General features: G+C 49.3%; 1 long non-coding RNA gene across 1 annotated transcript, besides 2 other annotated features; it reads right to left on the bottom strand.

The window, feature by feature from the left end:
- Nucleotides 1,864–2,364: an enhancer, noted in NCBI's record as "H3K4me1 hESC enhancer chr9:92493341-92493841 (GRCh37/hg19 assembly coordinates)". NCBI's record gives its function as "activates a minimal SCP1, AML or CMV promoter by ChIP-STARR-seq in primed H9 embryonic stem cells {active_cell/tissue: H9 hESC(primed)}" and the evidence as "EXISTENCE:reporter gene assay evidence [ECO:0000049][PMID:30033119]".
- Nucleotides 2,652–2,817: a silencer, noted in NCBI's record as "fragment chr9:92494129-92494294 (GRCh37/hg19 assembly coordinates)". NCBI's record gives its function as "represses an EF-1alpha promoter that drives an FKBP-Casp9 reporter gene in an ReSE screen in HepG2 liver carcinoma cells {active_cell/tissue: HepG2}" and the evidence as "EXISTENCE:reporter gene assay evidence [ECO:0000049][PMID:32094911]".
- On the bottom strand, nt 11,697–13,183 carry LOC107987032 (uncharacterized). Its single transcript, XR_001746572.1, has 2 exons — nt 12,995–13,183; nt 11,697–12,536 (listed from the first exon to the last, which is right to left on the bottom strand). It is a non-coding gene; the product is annotated as an uncharacterized LOC107987032 (long non-coding RNA).
- Nucleotides 13,184–16,640: the final 3,457 nt, after the last annotated feature.

Below are 16,640 nucleotides of genomic sequence, written 5' to 3' on the forward strand. Positions count from 1 at the left end.
GATGAAGAGATTGACCATGGGCCTGTGCCTGGGCAGGGCTCAAGCCAGGCTGCCTGCCTCTGACACCACACCTGTGACACCACACCCACACTGCAGGGGGACCCCATCTGCTTGGTTGACCCCCACCCAGGGTGCGGGGTCATCCCATCTCATGGATGATGCCTCTTCTGATCCAGCTGCAGCCCTGGGAGGTCCTGCTTCTGGAACCTCATGGCCCCACGTGCACTGCTCCTTGTAAGGCTTGAATGGCTGAGCTCTGCAAAGCTGGGGTCTTCCATCTTTCATGACGACAACCTGTGGCGGGGCCTGGAGCAGATCATGGCTCTCTTTCACACACAGGGTTTGGTCAAAATAACTTTTTCAGATGGTTCCTCCAAAAACTAAAGTTTTCTTACAGATTTTCAGAGGCCTCCAATCAAAGGCAGCCAGGAGAGCTCCCTGGGGAGTCGGGGCAGGGCTGTGAGCCCCCTACCTCCTCCAGCTCAGTTCTGATTCCTTAGGCCTCAGATGTCTGAGTTGACTTTTTGATAATAGTTACCTGAGAATGGCTCTTGCAGGAGGAATCTGATTTCTGAACATTCTGTTTCAATAGTGTTTGCCAGGAAACTGAGATGCAGACACTTCAAGTGACTTGCTTAAGGTCACAGAGCCTGGGAGAGCCAGAGCTTGGTCTAAGTCACTGTGGTGCTTCCTGACCTGTGCTCTAGTGCCTTGCCTGTTTGAACATGTTTACCTGCCTACGCAATTGCTGTGCAACTTCTCCCCTGTGTGTGTGTGTGCATGTGAGCCTGTGTGTGTATGTGTGTCTGTGTCTGTCTCTGTATGCATGTGTGTGCATGTGCTCATGTGTTCCTGTGTATGTGTCTGTATGGGATGTGTGTGCCTGTGTGTGTGTGCCTCTGTGTGTGTGCATGTGTGCCTGTGTATGTGTGTCTGTGTGTGTGCATGTGTGTGTGAATGTGTGTATGTAAGAGTTGTCTTTGCCCTCACAAAGTGGGCTGGACTTGAGACCTCTGTGCGTTGTTTCTGCAGAACCAGCAAGGAGCAGGAGCAGGAGGAAGTGCCAACTGGTGCCTAATTGATAGGAAAGTGGGCTTAAAGGTCAGGTTACCCTGCTCCAGCTTCTTTGGAGGTCCAGGTGACTTCCCCGGTGAGTGAGGTGGAGTGGGGCAGGGCGGGGTGGGTGAGCCCACTGCTCTGCAGAGCTTTTGTGCTAGTGTCAGGTCACACCTGCATCCCCTGTGACCAGAACCGCTTATGTAGTAGTGTGTGTGCTTTGAAGTGTCCAGATCTCCCGGGTTTCAGGGAGGAGAACCTGGAATCTGGTGAGTAGCTGAGGCCTCACTGACTGCACCCCAGGGATCTGGTAGGATCTGAATTCAGGGCCTGGCTGTCCTGGGACTGCTTCATCTGAAGGGGCATTTGCCTGCTGGGGAAGATGCAGGTTGTGGGGCTTAATACTCCTCTCAGGGAACTAGGTCGGACTTTTTTCCCTATTAGAATACTTACTTTTTTAGGATCATGTGCAGGTTTATTTTGTATGGGGGTCTGGAGGGGTTCTGCCCACCAGGCCAAGACCAAATCCCAGGTCATATCCCCTCCCAAGCATACTTACCTTCCTCCCCTCAAAAAAACACAGAATGTTTAAGAGGGAAAATCTGTGGACTGGGAGTCAGTCAGGTGAGCGAGAGGCCAAAGGGTAAGCAGTGCGTGCAGCTTTGGGGGACCCCGTTTCTGTTTGATGTGGCTCGGGGAGCAGGGCTGCCAGGCCCAGGGAAGGGAGCAGGCTGCCTGGGATGCCCTCGGCAATAGGACACCTGGTACTGGGAGGGGCTGCAATGGCTGCTCCCAGCCCAGGCCCCAGGCAGTGTCAAGCTTCCCATCTGGTCCCTTGAGCTTCCGCACAGGCTGAGAGCAGGCTGGGAGCAGGTGTGACCAGGGAGGAAGGCCCAGAACTCCCTCTACTCTTTGCTACCCTGGAACAGTTGCCCGGGGGACTGGAAGCTCTTCTTAAGCAGCTGGAGTGCGGTTGGTGACGCCTTTAGGTCAGACCAGTGGTTCCCAAATTGTGGGCCCTGGGCCAGGAGCATCGACCTCCATGGAAATGGTTGGAAATTTGGAGTCAGGGGTCTCACCTTGACCTGGGCTGAGCAGAAGCTGGTGGGATGTGTCCTTTAACAGCCCTCCAGGACCTGGAGGGAGCTACAGTTTGAGCACCACCAAGGTTTGACATCAGGGGTAGGAGGATTTGGATGGAGCACCCCTCTGCCAACTGATGAGCTGAGTGGGTATGGGGAGCTCAGCTGCCCCCAGCCTGCTGGTTCCCAGCCCCCCTGGACTCTCCCTCCCTACCGGGACCAGCATCTCCTGACAGGGCCCGAGGGACTCAGCCTGGTAGTCCAGTTACAGAAAACAATTCCCTTCTCCTCCAGCCTCCTGGCCACAGTCCTCAGACCTCACCAGTCACAAAACTGAGACTGGGATATGGGGCATACTCCCAAGAGGCCAGCCACAAGCAGAAATCTTTTATTTTCTTGAAGTTTTGTTCATCTTCAAAATGTGGGCACATTTTCAGCACTCTAGTCCATAATGCAGGCCTGTTTGTTTTCTTATGAAAATAAGTCAGTTTGCCATGAGGCACGCTTATCCATGTGGCATCAGGAGGGCAGCACCCTCTCGGCCAAGCTGACGTCACTGTCCTGGCCTCTGTGGAGGGCCCCCCTTTCTGTCCCGGGGGTGGCATCAGCACCAACTGGTGTCACCGTGCTATGCACTGAGCTGCTACAGGGAGCAGGTCCCTTCCAAACACTCTTGAATTTAATTCAGTTCTTAAAGCCACCTGTAAGGTCTTCCCATTTGCAAGGACACGCGGCAGAGTGCAGGTGAAGACACGTGTCTGGGATGGCAGCAAATGACTCGGGATTGGCCAAGGGACTGAGTTCAGTGCAGAGGTTGCCAGGCAGAGGGCTTCAGCTGACCCAGTCCAGGGGTTTTCAAGGGAACGTCCTGGGAAGAGCAGCAGTTTCACTCCAGAATTTGCCAAAATTTTAGACCTTCAGTCTCCCTTGCCCCCAACTCAACTGGAGACTCCTGGGCAGGGCTCATAATTCATGTGGGAATAGACCTTCTTGGGGGTTTAGATGCCCTCTCCTGTTTGAGAACTGCCGCCTTCACCAGAACCTCAATGTTTGCCCCAGTGGATGTCAACCTGCAGGCCTGTGGGGAGGGACCCAGGCACAGTGCAGGATCCCCCTTCCTTTCCCCAGGAGCAGCGCTGTGAGGGTCAGGGAAGGCCTCTGGATTCACCCAGAAATGGCTCGTTAAAGCAGCGTGGACCCCTTCCACCCAGGAGCTCATTGTCAGGACTGCCTCTCTCCCCGGCATCTAGAATCCTGTCTCAGAGGTTTTGGGGGAGCCCAAACTAAGATATATATGTAAAGCAGAAGTTTCTGCATACTTCTATAATTCTATGATAGGCTTGTAGCATTTACAGTTACAAAAGCAAACACTTCTACAAGTTAATAGCAAACAGACCTTAAAACCAAAGAAAGTCAAATCAGCAGCATTAATTGATTGTGACAGATGAGTCATATGTAGGCACTCGGTGTCAGCTGCAGAGAGGCCGCAGTCCCACTGTGTGCTTGGGTGTCTTGAGCTGGCAGGGCCGGACCTCGGCTTTGAACCCTGGGGAAGATGCATTCCCTCCACTAATCAGCAGTGTCCTTTGGCTTGAGCACTGACCTTTGCCTCTGAGTGATCCTATCGACTGTGACCCCGAGTCATGCTCTCAGGTCACGGACAGTGCCCAGGGCTGCTTACTTACATCACATGATCCAAAATGGGCTTTTTACATTTTTTTCTTTTTAGTTAAAAAAATTGTGGTAAAATGCATATAACCTAAAATTTGCCATTGTAAGTATTTTCAAGTGCACAGCTAGCTCAGTGGCATTCATTTCATTCACACTGTTGTGCTACCATCACCACCCACCATGTCCAGAACTTTCTCATCTTCCAAAACTAAAACTCCTTACTCATTAGGCAACAGAGCCCCATTACCCTCCTCGAGCTCCTGGCAACCACCATTTTACTTTCTGGCTCATGAATGTGACTACTTTACGTTCCTCACAGGAGTGGAATCACACAGTATTTGTCCTCTTGGTGACTGGCTTATTTCACTTGGCATAAGTCCTCAAGCTTCAGTCCCATAGCCTATCACAGGATTTTTTTTTTCCTTTTTAAGGCAGAACAATATTTCATTGCATGGATGTACCACATTTAGTTTCTCCACCCATCCCTCAATGGGCACTTGAGTTGTTTCCATATCCATTTTTTTTTAGACAGAATCTCACACTGTCACCCAGGCTGGAGTGCAGTGGCATGATATCGGCTCAGTGCAACCTCCACCTCCTGGGTTCAAGTGATTCTCCTGCCTCAGTCTCCTGAGTAGCTGGGACTACAGGCATGCACCACCATACCTGGCTAATTTTTGTATTTTTAGTAGAGACGGGGTTTCGCCACCTTGGCCAGGTGGGTCTCAAACTCCCGACCTCAGGTTATTCACCTGCCTGGGCCTCCCAAAGTGCTGGGATTACAGGCGTAAGCCACCATGCCCGGCCTTGTTTCCACATCTTGGCTATTGTGATTAATGCTTCTACGCACATGGGTGTACAAATATGTGTCTGAGTCCCTGCTTTCACTTCTTCTGGGCATGCGCCGAGGAGTTGAATTGCTGGATCATGTGGTTACAGAGTGTGCTTTTAGTAATTTTTAAAAAGATTACCATAGGAAAGCAAATAAAAATGAATGCTCTGATCTGGAGAGGTCTTCACAAAGAACAGCAGGTGCCTGTGGGTTTTTGTGAAGATCTCTCCAGATCAGAGCATTCATGGACATCGACAGGAGAAACCCATTTGTCCTAGTTTGGGTTTTCCACAGAAGCAGACCCAGGGCTGTGACTTGGGTGCAGGGAGGTTATTTGGGATGTGACCCCGAAAAGGACTGTGAGCCGTGGTGGAAGGAGGCTCCTAGGGAAGGCCACGTGGACTGGGCGTGGCACCCACAGTCCCAGTTACACCACTGGGCTCCGTCCTGGCTCTGCTCCTGCTCCCGGTGACCTTGGGCAGTGGCACGCTAAGGGCAGGGTGGAGTAGGGGCGTGGTCTCCTCCTCTCCTCCTCCCTGTGGGCAGTGAGGGTGCTCATTGTCTTTAGAGAATCCCAAAACAAAAATAAGGCCAACCAGTTTGTCTTCTGTCTTCTGTTTATCGTCACCATGCACCAGGGATTCTGAGTGATGCCAGTGATAAAATACTTCTCCCTGGAAAAACATTTGTGTTCCAAACAATGGCTCCAGTGGTTACTGTTGAATTGTAATAATATATAGGTAAGCCTCAAACTGGCACCTTATTCTACCTACACTTTAATAAATGTATTCTGCAGGGAAGTAAATTTGAAGAACTCCCAGTTGTACAGTTGGTCAGACACACGAGTTTGTTTCCAGTGGGAGTTAATAACAGCCTAGGACCCTCTCAGTTCATTGCAGGTATGGCCTGCGATTCCCCTCCCCACACCGCCCTGGGGTCATACACGTCCCTGGTGTCCCTGTGTTTAACATTTGTTTTGAACAAACAATGATAACAGTGGTTATTGAGGCAGAGAAACAGCTCGAGTTTCTGCGGTTCTGTCCCATGGACACTTGGGCTGACGGCAGGCAAACTCTCAGTGGGGGGATATTTTTGTGTGGTAAGTGTCAGTTTCAGTCCATGCATGAAATGCATTTGTTTCATTTCATAATGACTTTGGACATTTTTATCATAACGGACAGAGTTTGTAAACAGGTTCTGCTCTCTTGCGTGCCCATATCCTCACCTGTGAAATGGGCTAATGGCATCCTCCCTCCCAGGCTAGGCATCCAGGAAGTCTCCACCTGGAGGCTGAACTCAGAGCCCTGAGCACAGGAAGGCCGTGGCTACAGCTCTTGCTGTGATTATTGTTGTTATTATGCCTCAGGGAGGAGAAGCCTGGCCTGCCTTTGGGGGCATTGGCAGTTGAGCCTGGAGTCTGACCCTGAAGGATGACAAGGAGCTTGTCCCAGAGGAGGGGACCAAGTGGGCAGCATTTTATGGCTATGATATCCTCAGAACTACGTACCCTGAAGGTGGTGTTTTGCCCATGATCTAACCTAGGTGTTTCATTTTTGGGAGAATAAACCTGTTCCTTCAACAATATTTACTGAAATTTAGCCATGAGCAAATTGTCCTGGTCATTGTGCCCGAAATAAATGTAACTTGTATGTTGAGTAAATTGTAATGAAGATACAATTTTGCATTTTGTCCACAGCCATTTAAACTTTCTTCAGGAGGGGAGGAGGTGGCTCTCCTGCAGGAATGAAGAGCGGCGGGCCCCTTGAGCCGTCTTTTCCCTCTTAGGTTATGAACAGTCCTCGGTCACTTTCAGCCGCAAGAACAGTTCATATTTATTTTCAGGGTGGAAGTCAGGAGTGGGAATCTGGGCGGGGACCACTTTTTCTATTTTTTTCTCATGGGCTCCTCTTCATCCTCCCCAGCCCCCAAGTTTTCTGGAGAGTTCAGGGTGGTTGAAGGGAGCAAATGCACGGGAAACATAAGTCTTCCTTGAACTGGTGCTGCTGTGAGGAGGCCAAGTGCTCACAGGGCTTTGGTGGTGTCTGCAGTCCCCATCCAGCCTTTCTGGAGCTCTTCAAGGTGATGTGTCTTGATTCTGGTCCCTCGGGACCCCTCTATGGCCCCCGAGGTTCAGTTGACCTGTGGGATTGCAGGCCCTTCCATATAGGAACTGGAAGATAGCTCCTCTGGCTCTCGCCCTACACATTTCCCTGGTGGGAGGTGAGGGGCATCCTTAGACCCCTGGCCACCAGGTCCTCACGCTGTAAGGGACATGTGTCATGTTCCCAGAGTGGTCTCATGGAGGCCCCCATCCCTCTCGGCCTGGGGTTGGGCAGTGTCACCTTCTGCCATGGGGGCTGGGCTGAAGCGATCCTGACCAAATCCTTAGGTGCTCAGAGTGATGGCTGTGAGCAGCTCCACCCCGTTTCTTTTGAGTGCTCTTCTGACCCAGGTGTTTCACAGCTATTGTCTTTTAAGGCGTGAATTGGACACTTAGGTCTTGACATCCTATTGTTTTCAGAGGGAGACAGGACTGTATGCAAAGGCACATGATCCAGGGTGGACAGTGGCGTGAATTGGACACTTAGGTCTTGACATCCTATTGTTTTCAGAGGGAGACAGGACTGTATGCAAAGGCACATGATCCAGGGTGGACAGTGGCCTGAAGCAGTACGGACAATGACGGGGGAGACTCTCCCAGCTGGGGCCAAGGGAATCCTGGCAGGCCTTGGAGGTGGACATAGTGTGACCTCCCATGGTGCGTGAGGAGGGATTGCTGGGTCGCCATGCAAGAACTGAGAACCATCGAGGAGTGCGCGGGCCCAGGGCCTGCCCCTGTGGCCTTGTTGGCTCCTGCTGGGGTCACTGCAGATGGTGACAGCGTCTCACACAAAGTGACCTCACACTGAGTGCAGTGGGTCAGGAGACAGTCTTGTCTTACTCTGCGCCAGTTCTGAGCCACACGTTTCTAATAGAGTGACGGCATATGACCACACTTTTCTGTCGTTTAGAAGTTTCCAGAATATTCTGAGCTTCTGAAAGTTCACATAAACATACAGTGTTCTGTTTTTATTGTAAGAGTAAAATAGGATGGCCATTTTCATATGTGGACACCCCAAGGCATATCGGATCTGACTTCTACAATTTTAATGAAGTGAAACATTTCGGAAAACAAACAATAAAAACTTTACCCTTGTTCTCTTCCCTTTTCTCTTATTCATTTATTTATTTATTTATTTATTTAAGGAAATGGCTTTGAAGTATCTGAGAGCCTTGAGGTGGGAAGCGGGTGGAATTCCTGTGTCTGGAGCAGTAGGTTTCTGGGTGGAGTGCAGATGGATTCAGGCACTGGTAACAATAGCAACAAATGTAGCAGAGCCCTCCCTTTGATGTGCCAAGATTAAACAACATGTCAAGTGCGGGCTGTGAGCTTGACTGAAATGTGATAATAGGGAAGCCTGATACCTTTGGGGCCAAAGCCCTATAAAGATAAAAATCAGATTATTAATGACAGTTTCCAGTTTTTTTTTTTAAGTCTTAAGATGTGTTTGTTCAGCAGGCCATGTGCAGACACCCCTGCCAGCAAACACGTGTGCACCACATGCTTGCAAACGGGCAAGGCTTCTCTGTTGTTTGCAGAGCAAATGCTGCTCATGCAGATGGGCCCCCAAAGGTCCATACACGCGTCATGCCTGGTAAGGGGTTCAGCGTGAAACCAGGGTCAGCTCCTCTGGGCCTCTGGAGTTTTTATGTACATTCTGCACGGTGTTTCCCCAGCTGGTATCAGGAACCCAGATGCTGAGGTCCAAGTCTGGTTTCATCTCCTGATACGGAGGCTGCAGAGGGGAAAGTTGTCTGTCCCTGCCTTAGTGGAAAAAGCGCTGCAGAATCCTCAGCTCACCATTTTGCATTTGGGTGGGAGGCTGGTTAAAGAGGCTGCACCAGCTGGCAGGCTTATCTATGGAAGGAATGGGGGCCTGAGATTTGAGAGCTCCTTGAAGAGGTTCTTCTGGCTCCAGCTGGATGTGTGACTAGGGACAGAACTCTTTGTGTGTGGGCATTTGGTTTCCTCAGCTGTAATTGGAGATGGCCCGTTTGACAACTGTGGTCCTCTGCAACTGTAATCTCTGGTGTCAGTCATTAACACCTCAGTGCAAAGCAGCCCATCACATCACTTTCTAGGGCTGGGACTTGGGACTGCTACTCAGAAGTTAAGGAGGGCTGGAAAGGGAAGTTTCCACATGGAAGGATCTGCCTGAGCTGGCGGTTTCGGTGGAGCCCTGGCCAGGCCACAGTAGGGTGCTGGGGGCTTGGCTGGAAAGTGGGTGTGAGGGACAGGAGAGATGCTGGGAAGGAAAGTGCAGGTGTGTGGTGTGAGGGAGGCAGGCTCCAGGTATCAGGCCTGCCAGAGGATCTCACAAGGATCTTCCTCTAGGGTGCTAACTCCTCTGAGCAACCCCAAGGTCTTTGGGACATGCAGGCCCTGTCTCTAGTCGTCTGAGATTTAAAAGGCTGGCGTGTCCTGAATCAGGATTCGAATCTCAGCCTCCTGACTAGAGGCCAGGTCTTGTGACTGCAGGGCAATTATTTTGTTATTTGGATTAATCCCACGGCAAAACCCACCACAAGCGTTGACCTTTCTCATGCTTGGCCCTATGGAAAGGCAGCCCAGCCAGATAAGGAGTTTGTGAACTCCTGAAAAATGTTTTCACTCAGATGAGATCAGCAGGCCTTTGGAAGTACCTTCTCAGAGGTCAGGGCCTAGGGCACTAGCCGCAGGGTGGCTCTGAGAATCGGTGGAGGGAATGCTGGGGTGGCGTCAGCAGGTCCAGCTTCAAATCCCACTCCCAGCGCTCACCAATCTCCACTCCTCCGCATTTCTTTGATTGGCAGTGGTGGAGGACAAGGGTCCCCCCTCCTCTGGATCTTCTGTGTGAAAGCATGGTGCCTCCTTTCTGGCACAGAAGTGATCAAACGGCTACCTACCCCTCATCCTCCCATTATTGTGCAGTGTACGTGTGGGCTCCCTGAAAAGCATGGAGCAGAGGTGTAGACGTTTGATTAAGTGCTTCCTAAGCTTGATGGTCGAGCCTTGTTTCAGCTGCTGAATTTGCTGTGTGCAGCCTGGCATTGTTCTCAGGAGGGTCTTTCATATGTGTCTGAGGACATAAGGACAGATGAGAAGCAGGCCAGGGGAGAAGTGATCTCTGCCTCCCCACCTCACACCCACATGGCACAGGAGGACAGGGTTGACTGCATCGGTGTCCCTGTGGGAAGGTGAGTGGGGAATGAAGTACCACTCGCTCGGCAATGACTCATTATCATCTGAAGAAAAGTGCCTGGGGGTTGGAGGTCAGGAAATGTCTGTCATTTGCTTCCTCTAGGTTTGATTTAACCTGATGAGAGTTAACCTGCTTATACATGCACAGGTTGTTTTTATCCCTGTGAAATCTCATGGTGGGTGAGAAAGGTAGGTCTAATGCCTGGGCCCCTCCATATTCCGGCTCCGTGGGTCTGATGGGACACCTGGGCTTGGGGATCTTTCAGAGCTGCCCAGGGAATTCTGGTGTGAGCAAAGCTTGAGAATCTCTGCTCCCAATCTTGATATTCTACATTATAAAGAAACAAATATCAACTGGTTTCTGCCAGGGACCTACCCTACGCCATCCCATCATTGTACTCTTCTGCGGCCATGGTCCTCAGGGATTTCAACCTGGCCAGGACCTGGGAGCCTTGAGAAGTCCAGTCGTTTTCAAAGGCCTGCGGGCCCCTGCAATCCTGGGCTGAATTCTGGGCTTCTGGATTAGCTCTCAGACCCCATTCCTCTCACCCTTGCTTCCTAAGGAAGTTTTGCCCATTTTTTGGCCAACATTGAGATCACATATTTGTACTTAGGCAAGTGACCTACTTGCATTTCACCATGAAGTCCGAATCCAACGATGGAAACTCAAGGCTTCCTTACTGCTTTCATTGTGCTATGCTGACTTGTAGGTAGAGAACTTTATTCATCCAAAAGTCCAAAGGTGTGTTAGGATTGTTCCAAAACTCTGTGTGATATCTGTTTGTCCAGAAAAAAAGAAAAACCCACACAAAAAGAAAGTATAATTCATCCTTCAGCATGGAGACCCTTGACCAGATCTCAATCTAGCAAAATCCACACTGTCCCCTTGACAGATGCTTTCATGAAGAGTCAGCTATCACAGCCTCAGCCCCCATGACCACTCAGACCAGACTGGAGTGGAGGTGGTGCTGGCCCTGCTGGCCTCTGGTTGTTCATGTTAAGTCTGCAGCCAGAGCTTTTTCTGTGTCAAAAAGTGTCTGCAAAATGACAGAGCCACCTTGTCACAGTGGCTCTTTCATTTTGCAGACACTTTTTGCCTTCTACAGATGCTGGTCATGCCTCAGTGGCAAGCAGGCAGAATTGCAGTCCAGAGCTGCCCCACAGAGTGTAGGGTGGGGGTGAGGTCAGATCTCAGCACTATGAAGACCACTCTGTGTTTACCCCATTTTCCTCCCATATAGTTGCTACTCATCAGGTTATATTTTTGACTTGAGAAAATTGTGCCTGTGAATTTCTTTCAATATCCTCATCTTAAACAAAATGGACTTCCAAAGCACCAGTCTAACTGGGGCCATTTTGAATTCAGACATGGTCAAAAAATCTGTCAAATAATGCACAAAATTCTATGTTTCTTGACTTTAAATCTCCACTCACCTGCCAAGGCCGCCCTAGAACATCTTAAAACAAGAAGTTGTTTCTTAGGGCCAGATCCATTTATAACATCTGCAGACAGGGGAGAGAGACATCCTGATCCTATAGCCTCTTCCTTTTTCCTTCTCCCACGTGAGCCTGATGGGTTAGCCTCGTGACTAATATTTGTTACAAATTCCCCACTTGCTCTTTAACCAGTGATAATGCACCAGCCTCCAATGGCAACAGATTGGGCACAGCATTACTTAATTGCTATCTCCTATTTTGGTTTAAAGTCTTCTGACTTCAACATTTAACAGTATTGGATATCAGCTGTGGAATATACCACCAAAGATAGACTATCTCGCAAAAATAATATGCCATGTATTTCAAAATCATAGCATTTGCTGTCAGCTCATATTTCTGGCCAAATATGGAAAGAAAGATACCCTTTGCCAAAGCCGTTTTGGACCTTTGAACAAGGCAGCTCTCTGTAACAATCCTTGGTGAGAACATGTTCTTCTGTGAGACTGCATGCCACATTTCATATTTGCGTAGGACTCTCATCCCCGCGACTGCTGAAGCACTTGGCATGGGTTCTCTCCAGTTTGCTCTGAGGTGGGAAGCTCAGCTAGGGTGGGTTTCCCATGAATGAGAGTTGGGAAAGCAGCTGTCTCAAAGCCAGAGTCGCGGACCTGGGGGAAGAAGGAAATAAGTGGCACTAGAATTAGAGACCAGGTCCTTTGTGTCCAATCCAGCAGCATTCTGCCTCTCTCTGGATGCCCTGAGTACATTTGTAGGTCTTCTGACTCCTGAGAATTAATGTGAGACTGGGTGGAATCAGGAATTAGCATCCACGCTTGATCGTAGAGCCTCGTCTGCAGGCCTGGGTGGTCACTACACATTTCTTTCCACTGGGCGATGCTGTGCTTTCTTTCAAAAGCTCATTAGAGATGCTCCCTCCCTTTGAAAGGCACAGAGATGTTTCATGTGCCATTTTCAATTTATCCAAGTTGCTACTCCAAAGAGGTGGAAATTACAAGAGGGTGTGCTTGTGAAACTGGAGGAGTCTCCCCGGCTGCAGCTCTGGGGACAGCATCTCACTGAGCTTGGGATGAAGTTGCTGGGCAGGACCAGACGATGGGATGCTGTTTTTCATTCTCGGTTTGGCTCTGCCTCTGAATGGTGGGGAGTACACCCTGTTCTGGGAGGAATAGGAAGGTCAATTTTAGTACTTTGATGTTGCTTTACAAAAGTGGAGGAAATCAAATACAGACTCCTGAAATATTAGCAACCCCAGGGTTTGTGTTGCATTTTCTAAGTTTTGGAAAAGATGATCCAGGAAGATGGGGGTCCTCCTTAAGCTGATGAATGTTACTCTGCTCTTCCCTTCTGCCTGCTTCTTACCACCCAGCATCTCCGCTGTCCTGAGGTTGGGCTGTCCTGGGAAGCTGTCTGCAGCTGGAGCTTTGAGTTGAGCTGGCTCCATGTGAGTGACGGAAACTCGGCTCTGGTTCCCTGGCCCAGGGCCCAGCTCCCCTTTCCCTCTCCCTGGGGCGCTGATGAAGTGAGGAGTGCGTGCATGAGCAGGCTGCTTGTGTGTCTGCTTACCTTGGCATCCAAAACACTCCAGCCCCATCTTCCCTGTGTGAAAATACTCACTACAAGCTTCTGCCTGTTTCCACTTTCAGTGCTTGCTCCCATCAACTTGCTTCTTCTTGGAAAGCTAGAATCCTGCAGCTGGATTGACCAGCACAAAGACCTTTGTGCTGGCTGAATAGCAAGGGACCTTCATGTGACTGGCAAGTGACTTGATTTCCCATGGGTTGCATCATGTTTTGGGGCACGAGGGAAGCATGGGACACTCCAAGGGGATTAGGTCCCTGGGGAAAAGTGCATACCGGTGGCTTTTGAGTCAATATTCTTTTAAGTTCGTGCCCAGTTTGCATCAGAGAAAAGGTTGTGCCCAAATGAAGATAGTCAGTGAACTTGTAGAATGTCACCAACCTGTCCAGGAGGTTGTACCCTCTAAGGCAGTCACAAGACTGCTGCGTGTTTGACATGATGGTTCAGGAAGGGGAGCCCCAACTGACCAGCATCAGGTTCTCTGTGGGTTGCTGAGTGGATGAAGCAATTAGGAGTAAGAGCACAGGAGCCTGGGGACAGGAAAGGCCACGCAGAAGCACTTCCTAGATGCGGTGGATAGATGCGGGCTCTGCCCATACTGTGGCCATAGTTGAGCAATGCCATGTGGCTATAGGGGCTTTCTTAAATTATAAACAGGTCTAACTAATATGGCTATATCTTCTTTTCAGAAGGGGCCACGGGGCCCTAGCCTCAGTCTACATCAGGTGCTGTCCAGGTGATATAGCACCGAGGAAAGAGAGCTCAGTCGCACTCCTGGCTCCCTGGGGACCATGGTAGCTCCAAAGGCTCCCTGTGGCTGGAGAGCTGTCTGTCCTCACCCCTTGTACAGCAGCACTTTTGACCCCTGAACCCATTGCTTTCATTTCTCTATTCCATTCATTTCAGTGTCTGCCTTGGTGAATTTGGGGTCAGCTGCCAAAATGATTGGAAGAGAAGCCAGTTGTTTTCACTAGGAGACAAGCATTAAAGAATAGACATCGTCTTTATCAACAGTTATTGTTTCTTTATCTTTACACTGGGGCAAGCGGTTTTATAATTATCCCTCTTAATCACACAACTGCCCTGTGCAGTAGGTATTCTTCTTAAACCCATTTAATGGATAAGCAAACTGAGACACAGAGAGATATGCAGCTCATTGGAGGTCTTTCTCACCACGAGTTCCTGGAAGAATCTGGATTACAATCTAGGTCACATTTCACGCATCACAGGCTGGGAGTAAGAGAAGAGATATAACTCCTAAATTCTGAGTAGCCCTTATGCATATGCCCTGTAACCAAAAGCAAAGCTCAAGCCTCCTTCCTGCGCATGTGGTACCTTGACGGTTCAGGGACGCTTCAAGGCACACCTCTGATCCCAGCAGCACAGACAGCACAGACCAGCCACCTAGAACTCCCTGTGAATAGAGATGACCTGTAGGTGTTCCCCTAATATTTGGAAATAAGTGAATGGCAACGAGAAAGGTGGTCCAAGGAATTTACTAAGCATGAAGAAGAACTTCCAGGGACATCCAAGGTCTTGCACACCTACCCTGACCCCATCCGGTGGTGTTAGGATCACAAAATAGAGACTTGTTATTTCAATGAGGATTCCAGGAGCTCCTGGGAAGTCTTTGCTGGTTCACAGATGTGTTTACACTCAGGATATTCTTTCAATGGCATATTTTTGAGTTACTTTCAACAAAAGGCATTAAAATGCAAGGGGTTTCTGCATAATTTTCAATTAAAAAGACAATGCATTGATCAGAGTCATCAGTGGTTTGCAACTGTTCTCGGGGAATGGGCTTTCTGGAAGGAAGCGTAGGAGGGAAGTGCAGATAATTTTGAGTATCACCTTTTCCAAAAAGTAGTGTGGCTGTGATGACGCTGTGGTTTCCTGTGAGCCCAGAATACAGTACCCCTGTGTTTGGCCTGCCAGGGCAGGTGAACATTCCCCAGGCTTGCTCTGTGTCACGGATACCCAGCTCACCAGATGGATGCAGTATGGTGGGTGCCCTGGTAGCCGAAGCTGGCTCTGATGCAAAGATCTGGTGCAGAATTTATAAAGCAATATCTCATTTCTGGTTGATGGTGACTCACTAGAGGTGTTGGAACATTTTTTTTTTCCTATTTCGTGTCAAAGATTCTTGGGATGAAATAAGTTAAAAAGATGTTTCTAGAAGACAAGTAAGTATCAAAAAATAAAAGGAGCTGAAACATCCACCAAAGTGAATATTAAGAGAAATTCGACACTCCAGAGATTGTGAATGTCCTTTTATCCTGGCCTAGATAATGAGGCATGCACAGGTAATACTGTGGGCTACTTGGTGCCATTAGAAGAAAATGCTGACTGAGCTTACAATCATGTCTTCAGTTCTATTTAGTCAGATCTTTTGGTTATTTCATTCGCATGCTGAAGTTCTGTTTCCTTGTCATTTGGAGATGTTTAACTGTGGCATATGTCAGAACCACAGGCAATTGAGAATAGATTAATCAATACCTCCATCAATGGACACTTGAAGAAGACACATAACTCAAACCTTATGTTAAATCTTAGAGGAAAAGTCAGGTTTTTATTGTAGTTCATTTTTTGGAGATGATTGCAAATTTAGTTATTTTGCATCTATTTTTAGGCAGAAATATTAACAGTTCAAGAAAAGCCAAGAGTTTTATCAGAATAAAAAAGGAGATTGTCTACCATGTAAAACCAGCTGCAAATCCACTGAGAATCACTCCTGGGCACCATCAGTGTGGGAGCTGCTTCCCTAAGAGCTGAGACTGCCAGCACGCGTGAAAATACCACCCAGCTCTTCCAAGACTGGCCCCATGCTGGCAGAAGCTAATGTGTGCAGCTCAATAGTATGATGTCAAGTCCAGATCTTGAAAGCAGACTGCCAAGTGAGCGAGGACACCTGCTTCAGTGGTAGGGTGAGGGAGGCTGCGAAATTCACCAAGAGGTAAACAGCAGCTGAGAAAGCCTTGGGAGACTGGGTGGGACTCAGATGACCAGAGAAAGCCTTTCCAGGAAGAAAGACTGAGGGAGGCAAAGTGACAAATGCATGAGCGAGTGGGGTCATGGCTGACCATGGGACTGCAAGATGACTAAGGCAGGGGCTCTGGGAGTCAGCACCAGAGAAGGAGTGGAAGGGGAGCGGCCTGTCAAAAGGCTTTGGAAACAGAACCCAGTTGTGGAAACTGAGGTGCATGAGTCCGGCATAGTTGTTTAGGAAGCGGCAAGTCTGGCTCTGAGGAATGACGTGGGAGCTCAGGTCATGACCGTGCAAAGAATAAGGAACCCAGAGACTGGGGTGACACTGCAGACGAAGGTGTCTGGATTGCTAGGGAGTCTGAAGATGGGTGGGTTCCAGGGGAGCCTGGGAACCCAAACTGTGCTCTTCCTTCTTCTTGGTCTCAGAAGAGTGAAGAACCAGAGGGAGTGGCAGAAGACTTTCATGTGAGAGACTCTGAGGTTGAGACTTGGACTTTATTGTACAATAGAGCATTTGGCTGGCCTTTGTCTCCGGTTCCTGGGAAGGACCCTCTAAATCCTTGGTATTTCCTGAGTGATAGGATGTCTTTGTTACTCATGGTAGGCCCCTGTGACCACACCAGAATTCATGCTAACAGGAAGACTCGGGATGGGGGCTGGTCACACCAGAAAGATCAACATGTGACTAGAGAGTTGG

This window comes from Homo sapiens, chromosome 9 (genome assembly GCF_000001405.40).
Source record: "Homo sapiens chromosome 9, GRCh38.p14 Primary Assembly".
In the NCBI taxonomy this organism is placed as follows: Eukaryota; Metazoa; Chordata; class Mammalia; order Primates; family Hominidae; genus Homo; species Homo sapiens.